The 22,690-nt window shown below is 51.2% G+C and overlaps 1 protein-coding gene and 1 pseudogene across 20 annotated transcripts in view, besides 6 other annotated features; one reads left to right on the top strand and one right to left on the bottom strand.

Annotated features, from left to right (window-relative positions):
- The window catches only part of GTF2IRD1 (GTF2I repeat domain containing 1), a 148,700-nt gene that overhangs the window by 103,031 nt on the left and 22,979 nt on the right, over positions 1–22,690 (bottom strand). The gene's annotated exons all lie outside the window — the stretch shown is intronic.
- Positions 3,862–4,460: an enhancer, noted in NCBI's record as "H3K27ac-H3K4me1 hESC enhancer chr7:73909445-73910043 (GRCh37/hg19 assembly coordinates)". NCBI's record gives its function as "activates a minimal SCP1, AML or CMV promoter by ChIP-STARR-seq in primed H9 embryonic stem cells {active_cell/tissue: H9 hESC(primed)}" and the evidence as "EXISTENCE:reporter gene assay evidence [ECO:0000049][PMID:30033119]".
- Positions 12,035–12,147, top strand: RNA5SP233 (RNA, 5S ribosomal pseudogene 233; annotated as a pseudogene).
- Positions 19,027–19,076: an enhancer, noted in NCBI's record as "active region_26162". NCBI's record gives its function as "activates an Ori minimal core promoter by ATAC-STARR-seq in GM12878 lymphoblastoid cells {active_cell/tissue: GM12878}" and the evidence as "EXISTENCE:reporter gene assay evidence [ECO:0000049][PMID:35858748]".
- Positions 19,087–19,136: an enhancer, noted in NCBI's record as "active region_26161". NCBI's record gives its function as "activates an Ori minimal core promoter by ATAC-STARR-seq in GM12878 lymphoblastoid cells {active_cell/tissue: GM12878}" and the evidence as "EXISTENCE:reporter gene assay evidence [ECO:0000049][PMID:35858748]".
- Positions 19,187–19,236: an enhancer, noted in NCBI's record as "active region_26160". NCBI's record gives its function as "activates an Ori minimal core promoter by ATAC-STARR-seq in GM12878 lymphoblastoid cells {active_cell/tissue: GM12878}" and the evidence as "EXISTENCE:reporter gene assay evidence [ECO:0000049][PMID:35858748]".
- Positions 20,497–21,079: an enhancer, noted in NCBI's record as "H3K4me1 hESC enhancer chr7:73892826-73893408 (GRCh37/hg19 assembly coordinates)". NCBI's record gives its function as "activates a minimal SCP1, AML or CMV promoter by ChIP-STARR-seq in naive H9 embryonic stem cells {active_cell/tissue: H9 hESC(naive)}" and the evidence as "EXISTENCE:reporter gene assay evidence [ECO:0000049][PMID:30033119]".
- Positions 21,080–21,661: an enhancer, noted in NCBI's record as "H3K4me1 hESC enhancer chr7:73892244-73892825 (GRCh37/hg19 assembly coordinates)". NCBI's record gives its function as "activates a minimal SCP1, AML or CMV promoter by ChIP-STARR-seq in naive H9 embryonic stem cells {active_cell/tissue: H9 hESC(naive)}" and the evidence as "EXISTENCE:reporter gene assay evidence [ECO:0000049][PMID:30033119]".

Here is a 22,690-nt window from a genome sequence, read left to right as displayed (position 1 = left end):
TGCATTCATTCATCCATTCCTTGGTGTGTGCATTCATTCCTTTGTGTATATGCATTCATTCATTCCTTGATGTATGCATTCATTCATTGCTCCCTTCCTTCCTTCCTTCTTTCCTTCCTTCCTTCTCTCTCTCCCTCCCCCACTCCCTTCTCTTCCTTCCTTCCTTCCTTCCCTTCCTCCCTTCCTTGCACACTTTTGAACCCTCAGGGTGATACTCATTCCCTGTGCTTATTGGCTCCCGCCTAGGTCATACTGGGTAAGAACAGTGAGGACACCTCCGCCGGGCCATTGGCTGGGACCTAGTCCAAGGCAGTGAGCTGTAAGTGGGGAGGGGCCACCCTGCAAGAGCTCAGCAGGAGCTGGAGACCTGGTAGGTCGTGGCAAGGCTGGGAGTGGGAGGAACACAGCCTGGGTGCCTTCCGTGGCCTCCCCTCACCACCCCTACTCATTCACTCAACACCTACCAAGAGGCTGCTCTGTGCCAGGCTCCGCCTGCCCTCCTCCAGCTCACAGGGCCAGTGTGTCCAGAGAGAATTACAGGACCAGGCTGGGTGCGATGGCTCATGCCTGTAATCCCAGCACTTTGGGAGGCAGAGGTGGGAGGATCACTTGAGGTCAGGAGTTTGAGACCAGCCTGGCCAACATGGTGAAACCCCATCTCTACTAAAAATACAAAAAATTAGCTGGGGGTGGTGGTACACGCCTATAGTCCCAGCTACTAGGGAGGCCGAGGCAGGAGAATTGCTAGAACCTGGGAGTTGGAGGTTGCAGTGAGCTGAGATCTTGCCACTGCACTCCAGCCTGGGTGAAAGAGTGAGAGTCCATCTTATTTAAAAAAAAAAAAAAGAACTACAGGACCACGAAAGAAGGACAAGCAGAGAAGCTCGCGCAGGCACAGAGCTTGACAATGGGGAAAGGGGTTACCTATGTTTTATTTAAATGTTTTATTTACTTAGTTTTGGGGGAGGAGGGGCCTGACAAATAAGGCTTCCCTGAGTTGATGACTGTTGAGGTGGGTTTTCAAGAGTGAATAGGAGTTCTCTGGGTACAGGAGTGGAAGGATAATACCCTGTTGTTTCCACAGAGAGAAGCAAGGGAAGAAGCTTGGTTTAGAGATATACAACCTTTGCTCTATGAGTAAAGAGAAGTTTTGGACAGAATCAATGGAATAAAAAGGCAAACCACAGAATGGGTGAAAATATTTGTAAATAGTATATCGGTAAGGGATTAATATCCAGGATATGCAGACACCTCCTAAAACTCAACAACTAAGACTGGATGCAGTGGTTCATGCCTGTAATCCCAGCACTTTGGGAGGCCAAGGTGAGAGGATAACTTGAGGCCAGGAGCTCGAGACCAGCCTGGGCAACAGAGCGAGACATCATCTCCATTAATAATAATAATCCAATTAAAAAATAGGCAAATGACTTGAGTAAACCTTTCCCCTAAGAAGATATACAAATGGCCATAAAACAGATGAAAAGATGTCCAACATCACTAAAGATTAGCAAAATGCAAATCTAAACTCCACCTCACACCCACCAGGATACCTACTATAAAAAACACAAGAAAGCGGGGCGCGGTGGCTCATGCCTGTAATCCCAGCACTTTGGGAGGCCAAGGCAGGCGGATCATCTAAGGTCAGGAGTTCGAGACCAGCCTGACCAACATGGTGAAACCCATCTCCACTAAAATTACAAAAATTAGCCGGGCATGGTGGCACATGCCTGTAATCCCAGCTACTTGGGAGGCTGAGGCAGGAGAATTGCTTGAACCCAGGAGGCGGAGGTTGCAGTGAGCTGACATCATGCCATTGCACTCCAGGCGGGGCAACAAGAGTGAAACTCTGTCTAAAACAAAAACAAACAAAACAAACAAAACCACACACAGGAAAAAAACAAGAGCTGGTGAGAACGTGGGGAAATTGGAACCCTGTGTGCTGCTGGTAGGGATGCAAAATGGTACAGGCACTGTGGAAAACAGCATGGCGGTTCCTCAAAAAATTAAAAATAGGACTACCAGCCAGGTCCAGTAGCTCAGGCCTGTAATCCCAGCACTTTGGGAGGCTGAGGCAGGAGGATTGCTTGAGCTCAGGAGTTTGAGACCAGCCTGGCAAGATTCCATCTCTACAGAAAATACAAAAATTAGCTGGGTGTGGTGGTGCACACCTGTAGTCCCAGCTACTTGGGAAGCTGAGGCGGGAGGATGGCTTGAGCCTGCGGAGGTTGGGGCTGCAGTGAGGTGTGACTGTGCAACTGCACTCCACGTTTCCGCTCTTGCAAATAATGCTGCTATTAACATGAGTATGCAAATCACTTGGTAAACCTGTTTTCAATGATTTGGGGTATATACCCAGAGGTGGAACTGTTGAATTGTATAGTAGTTCTGTTTTTATATTTTATTTTATTTTATTTAGAAAGAGTCTCACTCTGTTGCCCAGGCTGGATTGCAGTGGTGTGATCATAGCTCACTGCAGCCTCAAATTCCTGGGTTCAAGCCATCTTCCCACCTCAGCCTTCCAAGCAGCTGGGACTACAGGTGTGCACCGCCATGCCTGGCTAATTTTAAATTTTTTTGTAGAGATGGGGTCTTGCTATGTTGCCCAGGCTGGCCTTGAACACCTGGCCTCAAACAATCCTCCCACCTCAGCCTCCCAACCTGCTGGGATTATAGGCATAAGCCACCATGCCTGGCCTTAATAGAATTTTTCAAAATGGGGGGAGGGGGGAAGAGAGGAAGTGTTTGGTTGTTCTCATTGTCCACTGTCGAGTGTCGTTCCTAAGACTAGAGAGGACACTCAGTGACCTTTGCTGGAATGGAGTGGAGAGAGGGAGGGGGCACCTAACAAGCACATCTCTGCCCCAGAGGTAAGTGTGAGCACTAGCAAGTCAACACACACATGCATGCACACTCACACACACACCCACACGCACACATACATGCACACCCACACGCACACCCACATACATGCACACCCACACCCACCCACACACATGCACACCCACACATGTACACCCCCCAAACGCACACACCCACACATACATGCACACCCACACACGCACACCCACATGAACACACACACACACACATACGTGCACACCCACATGAACACACATGCACACCCACACTCAAATGCATACACACATGCACACACATTGACACCCACATGCACACACACCCACATATATCACACACATATATGCACACACACATGCACCCACACACACATGCACATACATGCACACCCCCATGCACACCCCCACCCCCACACACATGCACACCCACATACACACGCATACCCACTCACATGCATACACACATATGCAGACACCCACACACGCATGCACACCCACATGCAGACACCCCATACACATACGCACGCATAGCCACTCACATGCATACACACATACACGTACTTGTGCACACAATGCACTCACATATGCATGCACACTCACACATGCATACACACATATGCACACACATGCATGCAAACTCACATGCATGTCCACACATACAGACACATGTGTGCACACATGCACACTCACTCACACACACGCTAGTCCAAGTCCTCCTGGGGCCAGTCCCAGCACAGTCTGAATGCAGTGAAAACCTTCACAGAGAAGGTGGCTGGCCCCAGCCACAGTCGTGCTGGGACACAGAGACGCGCAGGGCATGACCTCACCCTCCAAAGGCTCACTGTCCCATCAGGAGTCACATCACAGATCAAGCTGAACCTGTCTTCCCTCCAGAGCCCCACACTCCAGTCTGCAGGCCCCTGGGTGGGCCTTGCACTCTCGCTCAGGCCTTTGCACCTGCTGTGCCCTTTTTAAGAAATGCCCTTCCCCGCTGCTGGCTCCCTCTTAGCTCTTGTGGGCTCGTCAACACCTCCTGTTGTGCCCCTCGGTTGGGCTCCCTCAGCCCCTCCTTCCCTCCTCCTCCAGGATGTGGAGGTGTCAGAGCCCCCATGCACTGGCTCCTGGAGAACAGGGCTGATTGCTTTCATCTGTGTGTGCCCGGGCCTGCTACACATAACAAGGCCTGGAAAGGCCTCCGAAGAGAGGGGCCGTTGATGCAAGTTTGGAAGAATCATGAGCCATGAAGAAGGTGAATGGTGAGGGATGGGGCAGTCCAGACAGAGGGGACAGCTCAGGCAAAGGCACTAAGGCACAAGGGAGCCCGATGGGGTGTGACGTCCGTGGTGGGGCTGGCAGGAGTGGAGCAGAACGCCGAAGTGCTCTTGGCACAGACTGCAGTCAGATTCTGGGGCTGTCCAGCGGGAAATGCTCTGAGACTGTCCTAGCCTCAGCCCAGAGCCTGGGCCTGGGCTCTGGAGGGCCCTGTCCCGCCCTTCCCAAAGGGGACACGCCCACCTGGAGCCTGCACCCACTCTCCCACCCCAGACACCTGGGTACTCAGACCCCTGGAATCCAGCTGGCAGATAAACCCCCATTCTGGGGCCCCAGGGCCCTCTTCTCTGGTCCATCCTCCTGCAATGGTTTTAAATCTGACAATACATTCTTAGGCCAGGTGTGGTGGCTCATGCCTGTAATCCAGCACTTTGAGAGGCTGAGGCAGAAGGATTGCTTGAGGCCAGGAGTTCAAGACCAGACTGGGTAACATAGTGAGACCCCCCATCTCTACAAAAAAAATTTAAAATTAGCTAGGCATGGTAGTGCATACCTGTAGTCCCAGCTACTGGGGAGGCTGAGGCAAGAGGACCACTTGAGCCCAGGAAGTGGAGGCTACAGTGAACTGTGATCACACCACTGCTCTCCAGCCTGAGTGACAGAGTGAGAACCCTGTCTCTAAAAAATAAATAAATAAGTTTTTTGGTTTTTTGTTTTTTTTAAATAGAAATGGGAGTTTCCCTATATTGCCCAGGCTGGTCTCGAACTCCTGGGCTCAAAGGATCTTCCCACCTCGGCCTCCCAAAGTGAAAAAAATAAATAAATAAGTTCTTAATACTTCTCCCAACAAGTGGTGTCATCTAATTCTCTCCTCTTGAATGTGATTTGAATAAAGACCCACTTTGAACCAACAGAATGTGTGGGCAGCGCCAACACGTGACCTCTGCAGCCAGGTCCCCAAAGGCGCTAGACTTCCCCCAGCCACTCACTCACTCTCAGACCCTTGCCCTGGACTCTGAGCTGACACGTGGGAAGCCCGACTATCCTGAGGCCACCGTGCTGGAGGGGCCGGGGGGCAGCAGAGAAGCCCAAGGGGCCCCAGCTGTTCCTCGGCTCAGGCCCCGGGCCAGCAAGTGAAACATCTTCAAAATGACCTCAAGCCCTGCTAACTTTTTATTTAGAAACGGGATCTTGCTCTGTTGCCCAGGCTGGAGTGCCGTGGTGCGATCGTAGCTCACTGCAGCCTCCAACTCCCACCGGCAACCTTTTGACTGCAATTGTAGGAGAGATTGAGTAAGACCCATCTGGCTGAGCTCAGACAACTCTCACAATGTGAAGAGTAAAAGAAGAAATGACTGTTGTTTGACACTGCTAATGTTGGGCTATTGGTTTATGCAGTCCAAGATAAATAACGGATACACCCTGAGGGCACACCAGGCTGACGCTGCTGTACCCCCCAAGAGGGGGCAGCTGTTTGGGAGAGTGGACACGGCTTGAGTTCAGGAGTTCAAGACCAGCCTGGGTAATATGGCAAGACCCCATCTCAACAAAAAATAAAAAAATCAGCTGGGTGTGGTGGTGCATGCCTGTAGTCCCAGCTGCTTGGGAGGCTGAGATGGGAGGATCCCCTGAGCCCAGGAGGTCAAGGCTGCAGTGAGCCAAGATCACACCACTGCACTCCAGCCTAGATATATGGCTTAGGGAGTCCACATAAATGAGAATAAGGTCCCCTCAGAGGGGACAGAGCCGAGGTGGGTCAGCTGGGATCTTCCATTTGTCTCCTTTACCTGGCCGGCATCTATCACAGGAGAACCTGTCTACTAGAATGGCTGCTGGAGTTTGCCCTTAGAGACCCGAGATAGGCTCAAAAAAATGACCTCCAAAAGACAGCCATGTCCTAATCCCCAGAGCCTGTGTTACCTTATATGGCAAAATCACTTTGCAGATGTGATTAAGGATCTTGAGGTAGGGGATTATTCTGGCTTAGCCGGGTAGGCTCTAAATGCCATCACATGCATCCTTATAAGAAGAGGTCATGGCCGGGCGCGGTAGCTCATACCTGTAAGCCCAGCACTTTGGGGGCCAAGGCAGGAGGATTGCTTGAGCCCAGGAGTTTGAGACCAGCCTGGGAAACATAGTGAGACCCCATCTCTACAAAAAATAAAAAAAAATTAGCTGGGTGTGGTGGAGCATGCCTATAGTCCCAGTTACTCGGGAGGCTGAGATGGGAGGATCCCCTGAGCCCAGGAGGTCAAGGATGCTGTGAGCTGAGATCACGTCACTGCCCTCCAGCCTGAGCAAGACAGTGAGACCCCTATCTCAAAAAAAAAAAAAAAAGAAGAAGAAGAAGAGGTCATGCCAGGCACAGTGGCTCATTCCTGTAATCTCAGTGCTTTGGGAGGCCAAGGCAGCAGGATCACTTCAAGTCAGGAGGACCACTTGAGGCTAAGAGTTTGAGACTAGCCTGAGCAACACAGCAAGACCCCAGCTCTACAAACATTTTTTAAAAATAGGGTAGAGGAAGACTGGACATCCATATAGAAGAGAAGTCCAAGTGAAGACGAAGTAGAGAGAGATTGGAAGATGCTGGCCTTGAAGACTGGAGTGATGCGGCCACAAGCCCAGGAGTGCTGGCAGCCCCCAGGAGCTAGAAGAGGCCAGGAACAGATTCCCCCCGAGAGCCTCTGGAGGGAGCATGGCACTGTCGGCACCTTGATTTTGGCCCAGTGGTAATGATTTTGGACCTTTGGCCTCCAGAACTGTGAGAATAGAAATTTCTCTTGTTCTCATAAAAACATGGGCAAAGGACATGAACAGACACTTTTCAAAAGGAGATGTACATGCAGCCAACAATCTTATGAAAAAAGACTCAATCAACATCATTGATCATGAGTGAAATGCAAATCACAACCACAATGAGATATCATCTCACACCAGTCAGAATGGCTATTATTAAAGTCAAAAAATGACAGATGCTGGGCCAGGCGTGGTGGCTCACACCAGTAATCCCAGCACTTTTGGAGGCCAAGGTGGGCAGATCATGAGGTCAGGAGATCAAGACCATCCTGGCTAACATGGTGAAACTCAGTTTCCACTAAAAATACAAAAAATTAGCCAGGCGTGGTGGCAGGCACCTGTAGTCCCAGCTACTCGGGAGGCTGAGGGAGGAGAATGGCGTGAACCCGGGAGGCAGAGCTTGCGGTGAGCCGAGATCACGCCACTGAACTCCAGCCTGGGCGACAGAGTGAGACTCTGTCTCAAAAAAAAAAAAAAAAAATTAGCCGGGAATGGTAGTGTGTGCCTGTAATCCCAGCTACTCGGGAGGCTGAGGCAGGAGAATTGCTTGAACCCAGGAAGTAGAGGTTGCAGTGAGCTGAGATTGCACCACTGCATTCCAGTCTGGACAACAGAGTAAGACTCCGTCTCAAAACAAAAACAAAAACAAAAACAAACGAACAAGAAAATAACAGATGTTGGTGAGGTTGTGGAGAAAAAGGAACACTTATACACTGTTGTAAATTAGTTCAGCCATTGTGGAAGACAGTGTGGTGATTCCTCAAAAACCTAAAGACAGAAATACCATTGGACCCGGCAATCCCTTACTGGGTATATACCCAAAGGAATAGAAATCATTCTACAATAAAGACACATGCACACGTATGTTTACTGCAGCACTATTCACAACAGCAAAAACATGGAATCAACCTAAATGCCCATCAATGATAGACTGGGTAAAGAAAATGTGGTAGGTATACACCATGGAATACTATGCAGCCACAAAAAAGAACAAGATCATGTTCTTTGCAGGGACATGGATGGAGCTGGAGGCCATTATCCTTAGCAAACTAACACAAGAACAGAAAACCAAATACTGCATGTTCTCACTTATAAGTGGGAGCTGAACAATGAGAACACATGGACACAGAGAGGGGGGCAACACACACTGGGGCCTTTCAGAAGGTGGAGGGTGGGAGGAGGGAGAAGATCATAAGAAATAACTATTGGGTACTGGGCTTAATACCTGGGTGAAAAAAGAATCTGTACAACAAACCCCCATGACACAAGTTTACCTATGTCACAAACCTGCACACTTGTACCCAAGAACCTCAAAGTAAAAAAAAAAAAAAAAAAAAAAAGAATTTTTTTTTCTCCCTCACTCTGTCACCCAGGCTGGAGTGCAGCAGTGGGATCTCAGCTCACTGCAACCTCCACCTCCAGGGTTCAGGCGATTCTCGTGCCTCAGCCTCCTGAGTAGCTGGGATTACAGGTGCCTGCCACCACGCCCATCTAATTTTTGTATTTTTAGTAGAGATGGGGTTTCACCATGTTGGCCAGAATGGTCTTGAACTCCTGACCTCATGATCTGCCCACTTTAGCCTTCCAAAGTGCTGGGATTACAGGCATGAGCCACCGCACTCGGCCTGAAATTTCTGTTGCTTTAAGGCACGAAGTCTGTGTGGCCCGTGTTACAGCAGCTTCAGGAAATTAACACTGGCTCCTTCACTGGCTGTACCCCACCTCACAAAGACAGTCCACATCCTCAGCCCCTTGGACACTCAGTCCTCAGCTCAGACCTCTGCAAAGCTCAGGCCTGGGTTTGCTGGAGAGCTCTCCAATCTCTTCCCCCTTGGAAGCGCCACTAGAAAGAGCCGGATTTTTCTGGACACCAGAGAAGCGTCTCTGTGATTCAAGTCTCACTGCCCTATGGACCAGCTGGGGCGTTGGAGCTGATGGAGAAAAAAAAAAATACACCCAACCACGTAAAAGGCAAAGGCAGGCACACACCCCACCCAAACACGGCCCCCGCACCATCCGCTGCCATATGCTTGTTTCTTGAAAAAGAAGCTTGAGAGAACAAACAAAAAAGAAATTTCTCCCCTTCTGGAAGGCGGGCGGGGGGGGGGGTATCCTTTCTCCCCAGCAGCCTCAGCCTCCCTCTGAATACTCCCTCTCTAGTCCCAGAGGCTCCCCAGTGGGGGTAGAGTGGCCTGGGGGTCCTGGATTCCTGCCCTCCCCCACCACCACTGTCACTGTAGCCGGGAAGAACACTGCCAGTCACAGCCCTGGCCTTCCATTCGTATCTGCTCAGGCCAGGCTCTGGGCTGGGCAGCGGGAGGGGGTCTTACACCCAGCCGCAGTGCAGTAGAAGGCAGTCTGGGGTCATGGTTAAGACACCTGGGGTCTCACTGGGCGCAGTGGCTCACGCCTGTAATCCCAGTGCTTTGGGAGGCTAAGGCAGGAGGATCAAGCCCAGGAGTTCAAGATCAGCCTGGGCAGCACAGTGAGACCCCATCTCTACAAAAAAACAAAAAAGTTAGCCAGGTGTGGTGGTGCGTGCCTGTTGTCCCAGCTACTCGGGGTGCTGAGGCAGGAGGATAGCTTGACACGGGAGGTCAAGGCTGCAATGAGCTATGACTGCAGCACTGCAGTCCAACCCAGGGGACAGAGCTAGACTCTGTCACACACACACACAAAAAAAATCTGAGTTCCAGTCCTGGATCTGACCCCAAAAGCTGTCCTCCAAGTCCTCTGCCCCACTCCCTGCTAACAGAATCCCCCCGTTGTGTCCTGGTATCTAAAGATGGGACAAACTTTGCTGGGTTGTCCCAACAACCAGTGCTTGGGGCAGCTGGGCCCTCCCAGTCCCTGGGAGGAACTTTGGTGATTCTCCAAGGCTCAGAGCAAGGCACTCCTTTTCCCCTAGCTGGGACAGGTGTAAGGAGAGGCCAGAACCCAATTCTGGCCACTGAGACATGAGGGACTTCTAGGAGAGCTGTCCTTGCCCTTAGAAAGGAACTGAAACCAGGCCAGGAGTGGTGGCTCACACCTGTCATCTCAGCACTTTGGGAGGCCAAGGTGGGCAGATCACCTGAGGTCAGGAGTTTGAGACCAGGCTGGCCAACATGGCGAAACCCCGTCTCTACTAAAAATACAAAAATTAGCCAGGTGTGGTGGTACATGCCTGTAATCCCAGCTACTTGGGAGGCTGAGGCAGGAGAATCGCTTGAACCCAGGAGGCGGAGGTTGCAGTGAGCTGAGATCACACCATTGCACTCCAGCCTGGGCAACAGAGCAAGACTCCGTCTCAAATAAAAAAAGGGACTGAAACCAGGGATGTCCTCCTTCTCCTGCATGTGACACCCCCGACCATGACAGCCAACTAGAGACATGAAAAGAATCAGCCCGGGAGGTGAGGGTATCTGAGGATGGCAGGGTGAACTCGTGGAAGAACTTGGTCCTGTATGACCCCAGATCTGCCATCTCTAAGCTTTGGGTGAAACAGTAAAAGTCTTTTTTTTTCTTTTTGAGATGGAGTCTTACCCTGTTGCCCAGGCTGGAGTGCAGTGGCACGATCTTGGCTCACTGCAACTTCTGCCTCCTGGGTTCAAATGATTCTCCTGCCTCAGCCTCCTGAGTAGCTGGGATTACAGGAACCCACCACCACACCCGGCTAATTTTTGTATTTTTAGTAGAGACGGGGTTTTGTTATGTTGGCCAGGCTGGTCTTGAACTCCTGACCTCAGGTGATCCGCCACCTTGGCCTCCCAAAGTGCTGGGATTACAGGAATGAACCACCGCGCCCAGGCAAAAGTCCATATTTCTTAAGGCACTCTTAGTAGAGGTTTCTTTTCTTCTTTCCTTTTTTACCCCCCCAGGACTAGAGTTTCTTTTCTTCTCTCTCTCTCTCTTTTTTTCTTCTGTCACCCAGGCTGGAGTGCAGTGATGCAATCATAGCTAACTACAGCCTCGATCTTGATCTCTCCTAGACTCAAGCAATCCTCCAGCCTCAGCCTCCCAAGTAGCTGGGACTACGGGCGCCTGCCACCACACCTGGCTCACTTAAAAAATCTTGTTAGAGACAGGGTCTCACTATGTTGCCCAGGCTGGTTCTGAACTCCTGGTCTCAAGCAATCCTCCTGCCTTGGCCTCCCAAAGTGATGGGATTACAGGCGTGAGCCACCGTGCCCAGCCAGAGGTTTCTTTCATTTGCAGCTAAAAACATCCTACTTAAGTCAGTCTTTACCAGTTGTAAAGTCACCCATTTGTTTTTGACTACAGGTCTATTTTACAATTTCCTTTCCAACTGCAGCTGAAGAGCCTACATCCGATTTTGATACCCAGAGCAAGATTTGAAGATTCTGAGTGTGCTACAATTCTTTATTTTGACACAGGGTCTCACTCTGTCTCTAGGCTGGAGTGAAGTGGGTGTGATCATAGCTCACTGCAGCCTCCAACTCCTGGGCTCAAGCGATCCTCCCGCCTCAGCCTCCTGAGTAGCTGGGACCACAGCGTGTGTCGCCACACCCAGCTAAGTTTTTATTTTTACTTTTTAGAGATAGGGTCTCACTGTGTTGCCCAGGCTGATCTTGAACTCCTGGCCTCAAGTGATCTTCTCACCTTGGGCTCCCAAAGTGCTAGATTATGAGTGTGAGCCACTGCACCCGGCTAACTTTATTTTTTATGCTGAGGGCTCCATCTCTAGTCCCACCACCCTCTTACCATGATGTTTGAGGAGGCACAATATTCTGAAAAAAATGGAAGTGATGGAAACAAAATGGAAAATTTGAAAAGATTAAAATATAAGTAATTCTTTTAAAAATGTCCTCTATATTTCTGAAGCATCTTTGTTAGTTTAAAATATAAAAATGCATTATGTATAAGTTGTTTTGTTCAACATTGCCACAGATTTGCTGTATCAAATTCAAAACTACAGTTTATTCAGAAGCCACCAATTTTAGATTTAATCACATTTTAAATGTTTAACATCTTTGTTACCAATGGAATTACAGTGTTTTGGGCTTTAAATAAGCTAGGCTTTCTTGTATATTTTTAAAAATTGTTTAAGTAATGTGGATAATTTATCTTTCTCTGGCTTTAAAAAAAATTTCCTAGAGATTGCAAAAACAGTCTACGGCCCCACCACCCTGAAAGAGCCTGATCTCATCTGATCTCAGAAGCTAAGCAGAGTCGGGTCTGGTTAGTTCTTAGATAGGAGACTGCAAAAAACAGGTGTTACACTTTGGGTGACTTAGTATTTCTTACGATATCAAGTAGAACTGGAAAGCTTTCATATTCAGAAAGGGAATAGAGACAAAGAGAGAAGTTACCCTGGCCAGGTGCAGTGGCTCACGCCTGTAATCCCAGCACTTTGGGAGGCCGAGGCGGTCGATAACCTGAGGTCCGGAGTTCAAGACCAGCCTGGCCAACATGGCGAAACCTCATCTCTATTAAAATACAAAAATTAGCCCTGCATGGTGTTGGGTGCCTGTAATTCTAGCTACTTGGGAGGCTGAGGCAGGGAGAATCATGTGAACCTGGGAGGCGGAGGTTGCAGTGAGCCAAGATCGCGCCACTGCACTCCCACCTGGGTGACAGAGACTCCATCTCAAAAGGAAAAAAGAAAAGAAAAGTTATCTTGTAATTCTCTCATCTACATCACTGAGTCCAACTTTTGGGAACTTTTGTCTAATGCGTCTCATTTCTTTGTTTTTAGAGACAGGGTCTTGCTATGTTGTCCAGGCTGGTTTCAAACTCCTGGGCTCAAGGGATCTTCCCCACGCCACCCTCAGTGTCCTGAGTAGCTGGGATTACAGGAGCACACAACCACGCTTGGCTATTTTTTTTCATTTTTTTTTTTTGTAGAGACATGGTCTTGCTATGTTGCTCAGGCTGGTCCTGAACTCCTAGGCTCAAGCAATCCTCCTGCCTCAGCTTCCTGAGTAGCTGGGACTATAGGCATGAGCCACCATGCCCAGCTGAACGTGCTGGGATTGTGAGGCAGACAGATGCTGTGTGGCTGGTACCTCAATCCCCATATAACCAACTTCTCCCTTGCTCTCCTCTTCTGTAGGGGCCACAACACAAAATCCTCCCATTCCTATACTCTCTTGCAGCCAGAGATGACCACAAGACACAGTCTAACCAGTGAGGCATTCCCAAACAAAAGAGCAGAGTTTCCCTGGAAGCAGGCAATGGGGGGCTCAATCCCTTACTCCCTATGCCCTGCCTGGTGGCTGACATCCACTTTAGGCCAGGATGACCAAAGCCCTCAGCCAGAGGAGAGAGAGAGAGATGGCGCAGGCCCCTCAGATGTGCCTGAGCAGCTGCCTGCGGCTGGACCACCCACCCATGCCTCCTGTTACACGAGACACCCCTCTCTCCTAAGCCTCTGTTTCTCAGGTTGCTTGCAACAAACACATTCCTAACAGAAATAGACTCCACGGCGGTGTGGGCGGATCACTTGAGGTCAAGAGTTCGAGACCAGCCTGGCCAACATGGTGAAACCACATCTCTACTAAAAATACAAAAATTAGCTGGGCGTGGTGTTGGGCACCTATAATCCCAGCTACTCAGGAGGCTGAGGCAGGAGAACTGCTTGAACCTGGGAGGCGGAGGTTGCAGTGAGCCAAGATCATGCCACCGTACTCCAGCCTGGGTGACAGGGCAAGACTCCATCTCAAAAAAAAAAAGAAACAGATTCCATGGGAGGCATTTTCTTTTCTTTCTTCTTCTTTTTTTTTAAAGACAGGGTCTCACTCTGTCACCGAGGCTGGAGTGCAGAGGCACGATCATAGCTCACTGCAGCCCCACCTTCCTGGACTCAAGCAATTCTCCTGCCTCAGGCTCACGAGTACCTGGGACTACATGATTGCGCCACCATACCCGGCTAATTTTTTAAAAAATTTTTAGTAGAGACAGAGTCTTGCTATGTTGCCCAGGCTGGTCTCAAACTCCTGCCCTCAAGTGATCCACCTGCCTCGGCCTCTCAAAGTGCCGGGATTATAGGTGTGAGCCACTGCTCCCAGCTGCATCTATTTTTTTTTTTTCTTTGAGATGGAGTCTTGCTCTTTTACCCAGGCCAGACTGCAGTGGCACTATCTCGGCTCACTGCAAGCTCCGCCTCCTGGGTTCACACCATTCTCCTGCCTCAGCCTCCCGAGTAGCTGGGACTACAGGCGTCCGCCACCACGCCCAGCTAATTTTTTGTGTTTTTAGTAGAGACGGGGTTTCACCGTGTTAGCCAGGATGGTCTCGATCTCCTGACCTCGTGATCCGCCCGCCTCGGCCTCTCAAAGTGCTGGGATTACAGGCGTGAGCCACCGCACCCAGCCAGCTGCATCTATTTTTAAAGGCCTCAGTCTCCAAGACTCGTCTGATGAATTCCACTGTCCATCAATCCTGGCCATTGAGGAAAGTGTGTCCAAACATCCATTCCAGGTTTCTCCTGCAGCAGCCCCACTGCTGCCTCCCCTGGGGCATCTGTAGCTAGAGGATGCCTTGATGCACATCCCTCTGGCATGATCCCACTCACAAGCCTCTTTCCTGCACCCTAAGCCACCCAGCTCCGGGCCCTTGGTCAGAGGTGTCGGGAGGTGGCATGTCTCCCACCCACGCATCTGAGGCCAGAAGAAGTCTCAGTGGGATTCTGGAAGGAAGGACTCAAGCATTGGATAAGGGGTTGAAAGAGGCGATTTCTCAGATCCACTCCAGATTTGAGATCCCTCATTACAGCAATGTTGTTAATAAAACAGTAATAGTCTCAAAGACACATCTGTACAGCCATGTTCATAGGATCAGTATTCACAATAGCCAAAAGGCAGAAACCGTCCCAGCGTCCGATGATGAATGGATAAAAAACCACAGTCTATCCATACAATGGAATATTACTGAGCCTTAAAAAGGAAAGACAGGCTGGGTGCAGTGGCTCATGACTGTAATCCTAACATTTGGGAGGCTGAGGCGGGTGGATCACCTGACGTCAGGAGTTTGAGACCAGCCTGGCCAACATGGTGAAATCTCGTCTCTACTAAAAATACAAAAATTAGCTGGCTGTGGTGGCAGGTGCCTGTAATCACAGCTACTCGGGAGGCTGAGGCAGGAGAATTGCTTGAACCCGGAGGGTGGAGGTTGCAGTAAGCCAAGATCGCACCACTTCGCTCCAGCCTGGGTGGGTGAAAGAGTGAGACTCCAATTCAAAAAAAAAAAAAAAAAAAGAAGGATGGCCGGGTGTGGTGGCTCATGCCTGTAATCTCAGTACTTTGGGAGGCTGAGACAGGAGGATCACTTGAGCCTGGGAGGTAGAGGTTGCAGTGAGCTGAGGTCACACTACTGCACTCCAGCCTGGGTGACAGAGTGAGACCCTGTCTCAATTTAAAAATAAAAAAAGACCATCATGTTAGGCCCGGTGATGCATATACCATCTCTCCAAATCCTTGACTCCATGGCTTTGGTTCCTGAAGACCCAAGTCCAGGTTCATTGCCATTACGCTGACAGAGAATTTAGGGACACAGGCTTTCAGCCAACACAAGGGAACATTCCTAATGGGAAGAACTGTCCCAGAATGGAAGAACAAGCTGCTGTGTGGGCACTGAGTCTCCATCTCTGGGGGCTGCTCAGTGGAAGCTGCCCACTTATCAAGGCCTCTCAGAGGGTCTTTGCACCTGGGAGACTCTGGCTGTATCTACACGGCTCCTTCCTTCCACCAAGAAATCTGGCCTGGAGGTAATTCAGGCAGAGCAGAAGTGAGACACTGCATTTTTGCTCCACTTAGAAATGAGCCAAGTTGGTAAATAAGATTTTTTTTTTTTTAAAGAGACAGAGTCTTGCTCTGCCACCTAGGCTGGAATGCAATGGCGTGATTATGGCTCACTGCACCCTCAAACTCCTGGACTCAAGCCATCTGCCGGCCTCAGCCTCCCGAGTAGCTCCCTGCTAATTTTTTTAAAAATGTTTTGTAAAGATGGAGTCTCGCTCTGTCACCCAGGCTGGAATGCAGTGGCACGATCATGGCTCACTGCAGCCTCAAATTCCTGGACTCCAGCCATCCGCCTGCCTCAGCCTCCCAAGTAGCTGGGGTTACAGGTGCATGCTGCCATGCCTGATTTTTAAAAATTTTTTTTGTAGAGACAGTCTTGTTCTGCCACCCAGCCTGGAGTGCAGTGCTGCAATCATAGCTCATTGCAGCCTCAAATTCCTGGGCTCAAGCGATTCTTTCCCTCAGCCTCGCAAGTAGCTGGAACTGCAGACACATGCCACCATGCCCAGCTAATTAAAAAAAAAATTTTTTTTTTTTTAGAGATGGGGCCTTGCTATGTTGCCCAGGCTGGGCTCAAATTCTTGGGCTCAAGCAATCCTGCCTCAGTCTCCCAAAGTGCTGGGATTACAGGAATGAGCCACTGTGACCGGCCTAAATAAGATCTTAAGAGCAAACTTCAAACACTTTGGAAAACAACCTCTTAGCACTGAGAAGTATATGCTTAGCATCACAGCACTGAGCTAGATGGGCCCCTCATCTAACCACCTGCATGTCCATCTAGGGAAACCACGGCCCAGAGGCGTCAGACTGAACCCCAGATCTCTGCACACCCAACCCAGGCTCACAACATAATACAACTTGCTCTCCTGTGGGCTTAACAGCTACGCTGATTGCAAATTCTTTCCTATTCACCACAAAACATCCTTTAGGGAAATAAACTTTATTTCTTTGACGATGGGCAGTAATTCAGAGGTATCCGAATTTCAGCGCAAGACCTGATCTGTTTCCACGGTACATGTGTTTCCACTGACTCCTCCTGGGTGCCCCGTCTATTGGAAAAGGCATCAGACGTATGAGCAAACCACAAAGACACGCAACACCACGGTGGAATCTCGCAAGGATGATGAAAGAATCTGAGGTCACATGGTAGAATTCCATTTATGTAAGGTTCAAAAGGAGGCCACATTCTGAAGCCAGGAGATGGAACGGCGGTTATCGTGGTGGGTCAGGGAGAGTGGTAGTAACTGGAAGGGGGTGAGAGGGGCTTGTCAATGCTGTTTCTTGATCTGGGTGCTGGTTACCTGGGTAGTTTAGTGTGTGAACAGTTATCAAGGTGTTTCTCTTACAACAAATAACTTTGTTCTCAATGAAAAGTGTGCATAAGGCCAGAAACAGTGGCTCGCACCCGTAATCCCAGCACTTTGGGAGGCTGAGGCAGGAGGACCACTTGAGCCCAGAAATTTGAGACCAGCCTGGACAACACAGAGAGACCCTGACTCTACAAAAAATTTAAAATTTAGCCATGTGTGGTGGCACATGCCTGTCGTCCCAGCTACTCGGGAGGCTAAGGCAGGAGGATCACTTGATCCCATGAGGTTGAGGCTGCAGTGAGCCGAGATTGCATCACTGCACTCCAGCCTGGGATACAGAAGGAGGCCCGTCTCAAAAAAAAAAAAAAAAAAAAAAAGTTTTAGGAGACATCAGGTATTGGGACACCCAGTCAGATGACAGAAAAAAACAAACAAACAAACAGCAAAACTGTCCCTTTTTAATCCTGCCCTGCAACTACAGATGGTACAGTTCCGCCTAGAGGCAGGGCTCCACCTCCAGCCTCCTCTGGCCCCCTCACCCCATGCTGTCACTAGGGCAGGGGCTGCAAGAGCCAGCTGGGAATGTCACTGGAGACAAAACCCCACACCTGTGGTCGAGCTCTTCCCAGCCTAGCAGCCATGAGTTTCACACTAAATCCTGGCCCACCCCACAGAAGGGCCCTGGGTGCACACAGTCCTCCCAGCCAAGCGATTTGGTGACGCTGTGACGTGTTTCAGGAAGTTCAATTTTAACTCTGTTCCCACCCTTCGCTCCAGGACTTATAATTCTATAAATTAATCCTGAGTTAATTATCCCAAATGCAAAGATTTACATGCAAAGATGTTTCCCCAAAGCTTTCACTTGGTACATCCACAGATACACACACCCACATATAAACAAGGAGTAGGTGCAGGCAACCTGATGCCCAGCAGAGGCTGATTCCAACACTGGACAGGATGACCTCAGGGGCATACACAGTGCAGCCCGGGATGCAAACTCCAGACCGTGCATCTCAGGGTGGGATCCATGCCTGACTTTGCTTCCCTCTACTTTTCTGTATTTTCTAAGTCACCTAAGGTAAGTATTACTTTTACAATTTGGAAAGAAACAACAGAAACCTCATCCTTTAAAAACAAAAGCAGGCTGGGCGTGGTGGCTCACTCCTGTAATCCCAACACTCTGGGAGCCAGAGAAGCAGGAGGATTGCCTGAGGCCAAGAGTTTGAGACCAGCCTGGGCAACATCGCAAGACCCCATCTCTAACAAAAAATTTAAAATATGAGCCGGGCGTGGTGGCACGCGCCTGTCGTCACAGCTACTCAGAAAGCTGAGGTGGGAGGATGGCTTGAGCCCAGGAGTTCAAGAATGCATCGAACTGGGATTGCGCCACTGCACTCCAGCCTGGGCGATAGAGCAAGACCTCATTTCTAAAAAAATTTTCCTTTTAAATAAAAAATAGAGCAAAACAAAAAGCAAAACCAACCATCCAACACAGCTGCTCCACCCCATGACAGGAAAGTTGGCCCCAGGCGGGGGCAAAGGGGCAGTCCAGGAAGTACAGGGATTCATGCTGCCTTCCAAGGGGAAGTGAGGGAGCCGCCTGCCTCTTCCCTGGAGGGGCTGGGGGAAGCCGATCTGAGGCCTGGCCATGCGAAGCCCCATCTGCCCTTCATCTAGGCTTCTGGAAGGTAGGGCGTCCTTCCTCCACGTGGAGGACGGGATTTAGGAAAAGGGGCTGTCTCCTCTCAGCTCGGGCTGTGCATCAGGTACTAGGAGCACTCAAAGAGAGCCCCCAAACTCAGGTTTCTCCATTTCTCTCCCGTCCCCCGGGGCGGGCACGGAGGGACTCCGCCGCCGCCGGCAGTATGCGGGGTCCAGGCCGCCCCATGCCTGCTCTACCAGGAGGGGAGGCCAGGATCCGCCGGGCAGACGGCTCCGCGGTTCAGGTTTCCACCCTTGTTATTTAAAGCCTGAGCCTGGCTCCTGGCAGGCGGGCAGGGGCGGCCGCCTGCCTGCGTGACCAGGATGAGAAATCGCAGTCCTGACGCGGGCCTGCGTGCCTATGGCAACTGGCGTTGTGGCCTTGGAGACTAATCTCCGGGCTGTCAGCCGGCGGGGACTCTCCAGCAGGGCCACGGCTCCCTGCAAAGGCCCTTGGCTGGGGGATCGGACAAGGCTCTCTTCCAGTGGAGGAGGGGGCGCTTGCCCCTGCACTGGGGCCCCTGGCCAGGCTCACAGATCCACATGTTCCCACGGCCACAGCCTCCGTCACACACACACGTGGGGACAATCACAGGGGTGGGGACACAGCCACCAGCTCACAGGCACCAATACTCTCTCACACTGTGTCCCACACCGCACAGGGCCCAACAGCAGGTGCTCCTGCCCTTGAAGGATTCCCAGGCTGGCAGGGAAAATGACCAAAAAAATAGACTACTGGGAAAAAAAAAAAAGATTAAAACACAGTGCAAGGATTTGAGCTGAGTGATGGTTACATGAGTATACAAGTCGGGGGAAAATTCATCACACGGGATGCTTAAGATTTATGTACTTGGGCTGGGTGCGATGGCTCACGACTGTAATCCCAGCACTTAGGGAGGCCGAGGCGGGCAGATCACTTGAGGTCAGGAGTTTGAGACCAGCCTGGCCAACATGGCAAAACCCCGTCTCTACTAAAAATACAAAAATTAGCTGGGCATGGTGGACGCGCCTATAAGCCACTCAGGAGGCTGAGACAGGAGAATTGTTTGAACCCAGGATGGGGACGTTGCAATGAGCCAAGACCACGCCACTCCAGCCTAGATGACAGAGCAGGACTCTGTCTCCAAAAAAAAAAAAAAAAAAAAAAGATTCATGTACTCATGTACTTTACTGGAAGTAAATTATGCTTCAGTGAAAGATAAAAATAAGTGGCATGGAAGAAGCCCAGGACGGCGGGTGAGGCAGTCAGGGTGGGGCTTCCTGGAGGAGGTGACACCTGAGCTGCCGGGACCCTCCCAGGGGAGTTGGCGTTTGCAGGTGAGGAGGGGAGACAGGCACTGTGCCCAGGCCCTGCTCTTCTACAAGGGAGGCGCCTTCCCTGCCCCACCGCAGCACCCACCTCCCCTAGAAATAAATGCTGAATAAATAAAGACCTGTTTGAAGGAGTGCCAAATTACTGGCTGCCCAGGAAACCCAACCGCCAGCCTGGGCCGCCCACGTGTCCTGGTCGGGCCTGAGCGGGGCCAGAGGCTGTGGGAGTGGGTGGGTGGGTGGGGAACAAATCCAGCTCTGCATGGCTGGAGTGTGCAGGGCAGGGCAGGAAGTGGTGGGCAGAGACCAGCGTGGCCATTGGGGTGAGGCCAAGGATCTCGGAAGGTCAGCCTCGCTGCAGGGTGTGGGGCAGGGGTGAGACGTGGGCAGTGAGGGGGATCCCAGGAAGCTACGGCGGAGGAACTGTCGGGTCATGCTTGGAGTTGGGGAGCCAGGAGTTGCCAAGTCTCTGCGACAGCCCAGGCCAGAGACAGCCAGGCATGAAGCAGACAGCAGCAGGGGATGGAGGACGGGGCAGAGCTTTGGGACCAGGAGCTGGCGACGGGGGGTCCCAAGGGAGGCACCTGGAATGACCACCAGGTTTCTGATCCCAGGAGTTTGAGACCAGCCTGGGCAACATAGTGAGACCCCATCTCTATAATTTTTTTTTTTTTAATTAGCCTAGTGTGATAGCATGTGCCTGTAGTCCCAGCTACTCCAGAGGCTGGGGTGGGAGGGTTGCTTGGGCCCAGGAGGCAGAGGTTGCAGTGAGCCATGATCACGCTACTGCACTCCAGCCTGGACAATACAGCAAGACCCTATCTCAAAAAAAAAGGTGGGGCTGGTGGCTCATGCCTATAATCCCAGCACTTTGGGAGGCTGAGGTGGGTGGTTCAGTTGAGGCCAGGAGTTTGAGACCAGCCTGGCCAACATGGTGAAACCCCATCTCTACTAAAAGCATAAAAATTAGTTGGGCGTGGTGGCATGTGCCTGTAATCCCAGCTACTCAGGAGGATGAGGTGGGAGGATCGCTTGAGCCCAAGAGTTCTAGGCTACAGTGAGCTATGATCGCACCACTGCACTCCAGCCTGGGTGACAGAGCAAGACCCTGTCTCTAAACACACACACACACACACAATGCTCAAACTTTCCTCTCCCCACTGAGCAAAAGGGTGATGGTAATTCTACTGCTCTCAGCTCTGTGAGAGCCCCACGTGAGAATGTGTGAACAGGGCCTGGCGCTGGGCCTGGGGACACCAAGTGCCCGCTCACTTAACAGCAGTGATGACGGGGACGATTGCTCAAGCTGACATCACCCGCCGAGCTGCTGTCCACCCCTGACATCAGGTCCCGTGTTGCTCACAGTATATCTCTGTCCCTCCACGCAAGGGGCGGTTGGGGAGTGCTGGGTGGGAAATGCAGGCTTGGCACCCAGCTAGGGGTCAGGGAACCCGGGCATTTGGTGCCCCCAGTTCTGGCTGAGCCCCGGAGGCTTATCTGAGCTCATGTGCATGGTGCAGAAGTATTTATTTGTTCTCAGGCAGGCATCTGAAAAGCGTGGGGGCTGGGTGTCAGGAGACAGTGGGAGGAAACCAGCTCTGGGGCGGTGCCAACCCCTGGGGCCAGGCAGTGCAGGGGGGCCCTGGGATCCTGTCTCCCAAGAACCCTTCGCTTGCCAGACATAAACATGCCTTCTCAGAACAACACGGATGAGGAACATCAGGCCTTTTCTTGTCGGGAAAAGGCTGGACGGAAAAAAGCCCATTACTCGTGGGTGATCTAATCCTGGGGCGCTGGCTCACGGGGCCCCCAGCCCTGCCCGCCTGAGCCGGCTCACTCCCCGACCTCTACCCACCCATGCCCCTGCAACCACTGAGCCAACGGGTGAGGACAGGTGTCCCAGGGCAGGCTATGCCCTGCAGTGGGCTGGGGAACAGCCCACCTGCTATGTAAAACCTCAGCACTAGCACTGCCCCTCCCTGGGCCTCAGTTTCTCCATCTGTCAATGGAGAACCTGGGCTAGAAGTTGTCTGAGGGCCTTGCCATCCTTGGCCCCAGATGGAAGGATCCCCATGCCCCCTCCCTCCCCTGGCATCTGGCCTCCCCACCTGCCCTGACCTACTCCAAAGCATTCATTATAGTCACCCCATTCCAGTCACCCAGCCCTGCCCTGCCCCGTCCCACCCCAAATGCCCTCTGGCCCTCCCCGCACCTCTTTTTTTTTTGGACACAAAAAAAAAACTGTCGCCCAGGCTGGAGTGCACTGGTGCGATCTTAGCTCACTGCAACCTCTGTCTCTCAGGTTCAAGTGATTCTCCTGACTCAGCCTCTTGAGTAGCGGGGATTACAGGTGCGCACTGGCATGTGTGGCTAATTTTTGTATTTTTAGTAGAGATGGGGTTTCACCATGTTGGCCAGGCTGGTCTCAAACTCCTGGCCTCAAGTGATCCTCCCTCCTCAGCCTCCCAAAGTGCTGGGATTACAGGCGCGATCCACCACGCCCAGCCCCGTTCTTGCTTTAAACACTTGGATGCCCCATCTTCCAGAGCCCTTTCATCTTCTAGTCCCCATTCCAGAGGCTTCCCTATTTCCAGTCTTGGGCCTACCCACATCCTCAGCCCTTGTTCCCGTCTTTTAGATGCTGTGGGACGCTGACTAAGTGCTCATTTTCACCACACCTGTTAGGACCCAGTCCCTGAACGGG

Source organism: Homo sapiens, chromosome 7 (genome assembly GCF_000001405.40).
Source record: "Homo sapiens chromosome 7, GRCh38.p14 Primary Assembly".
NCBI classification, from domain to species: domain Eukaryota; kingdom Metazoa; phylum Chordata; class Mammalia; order Primates; family Hominidae; genus Homo; species Homo sapiens.
The sequence above is the reverse complement of the archived record's forward strand: the minus strand, read 5'-3'. Positions and strand labels throughout refer to the sequence as shown.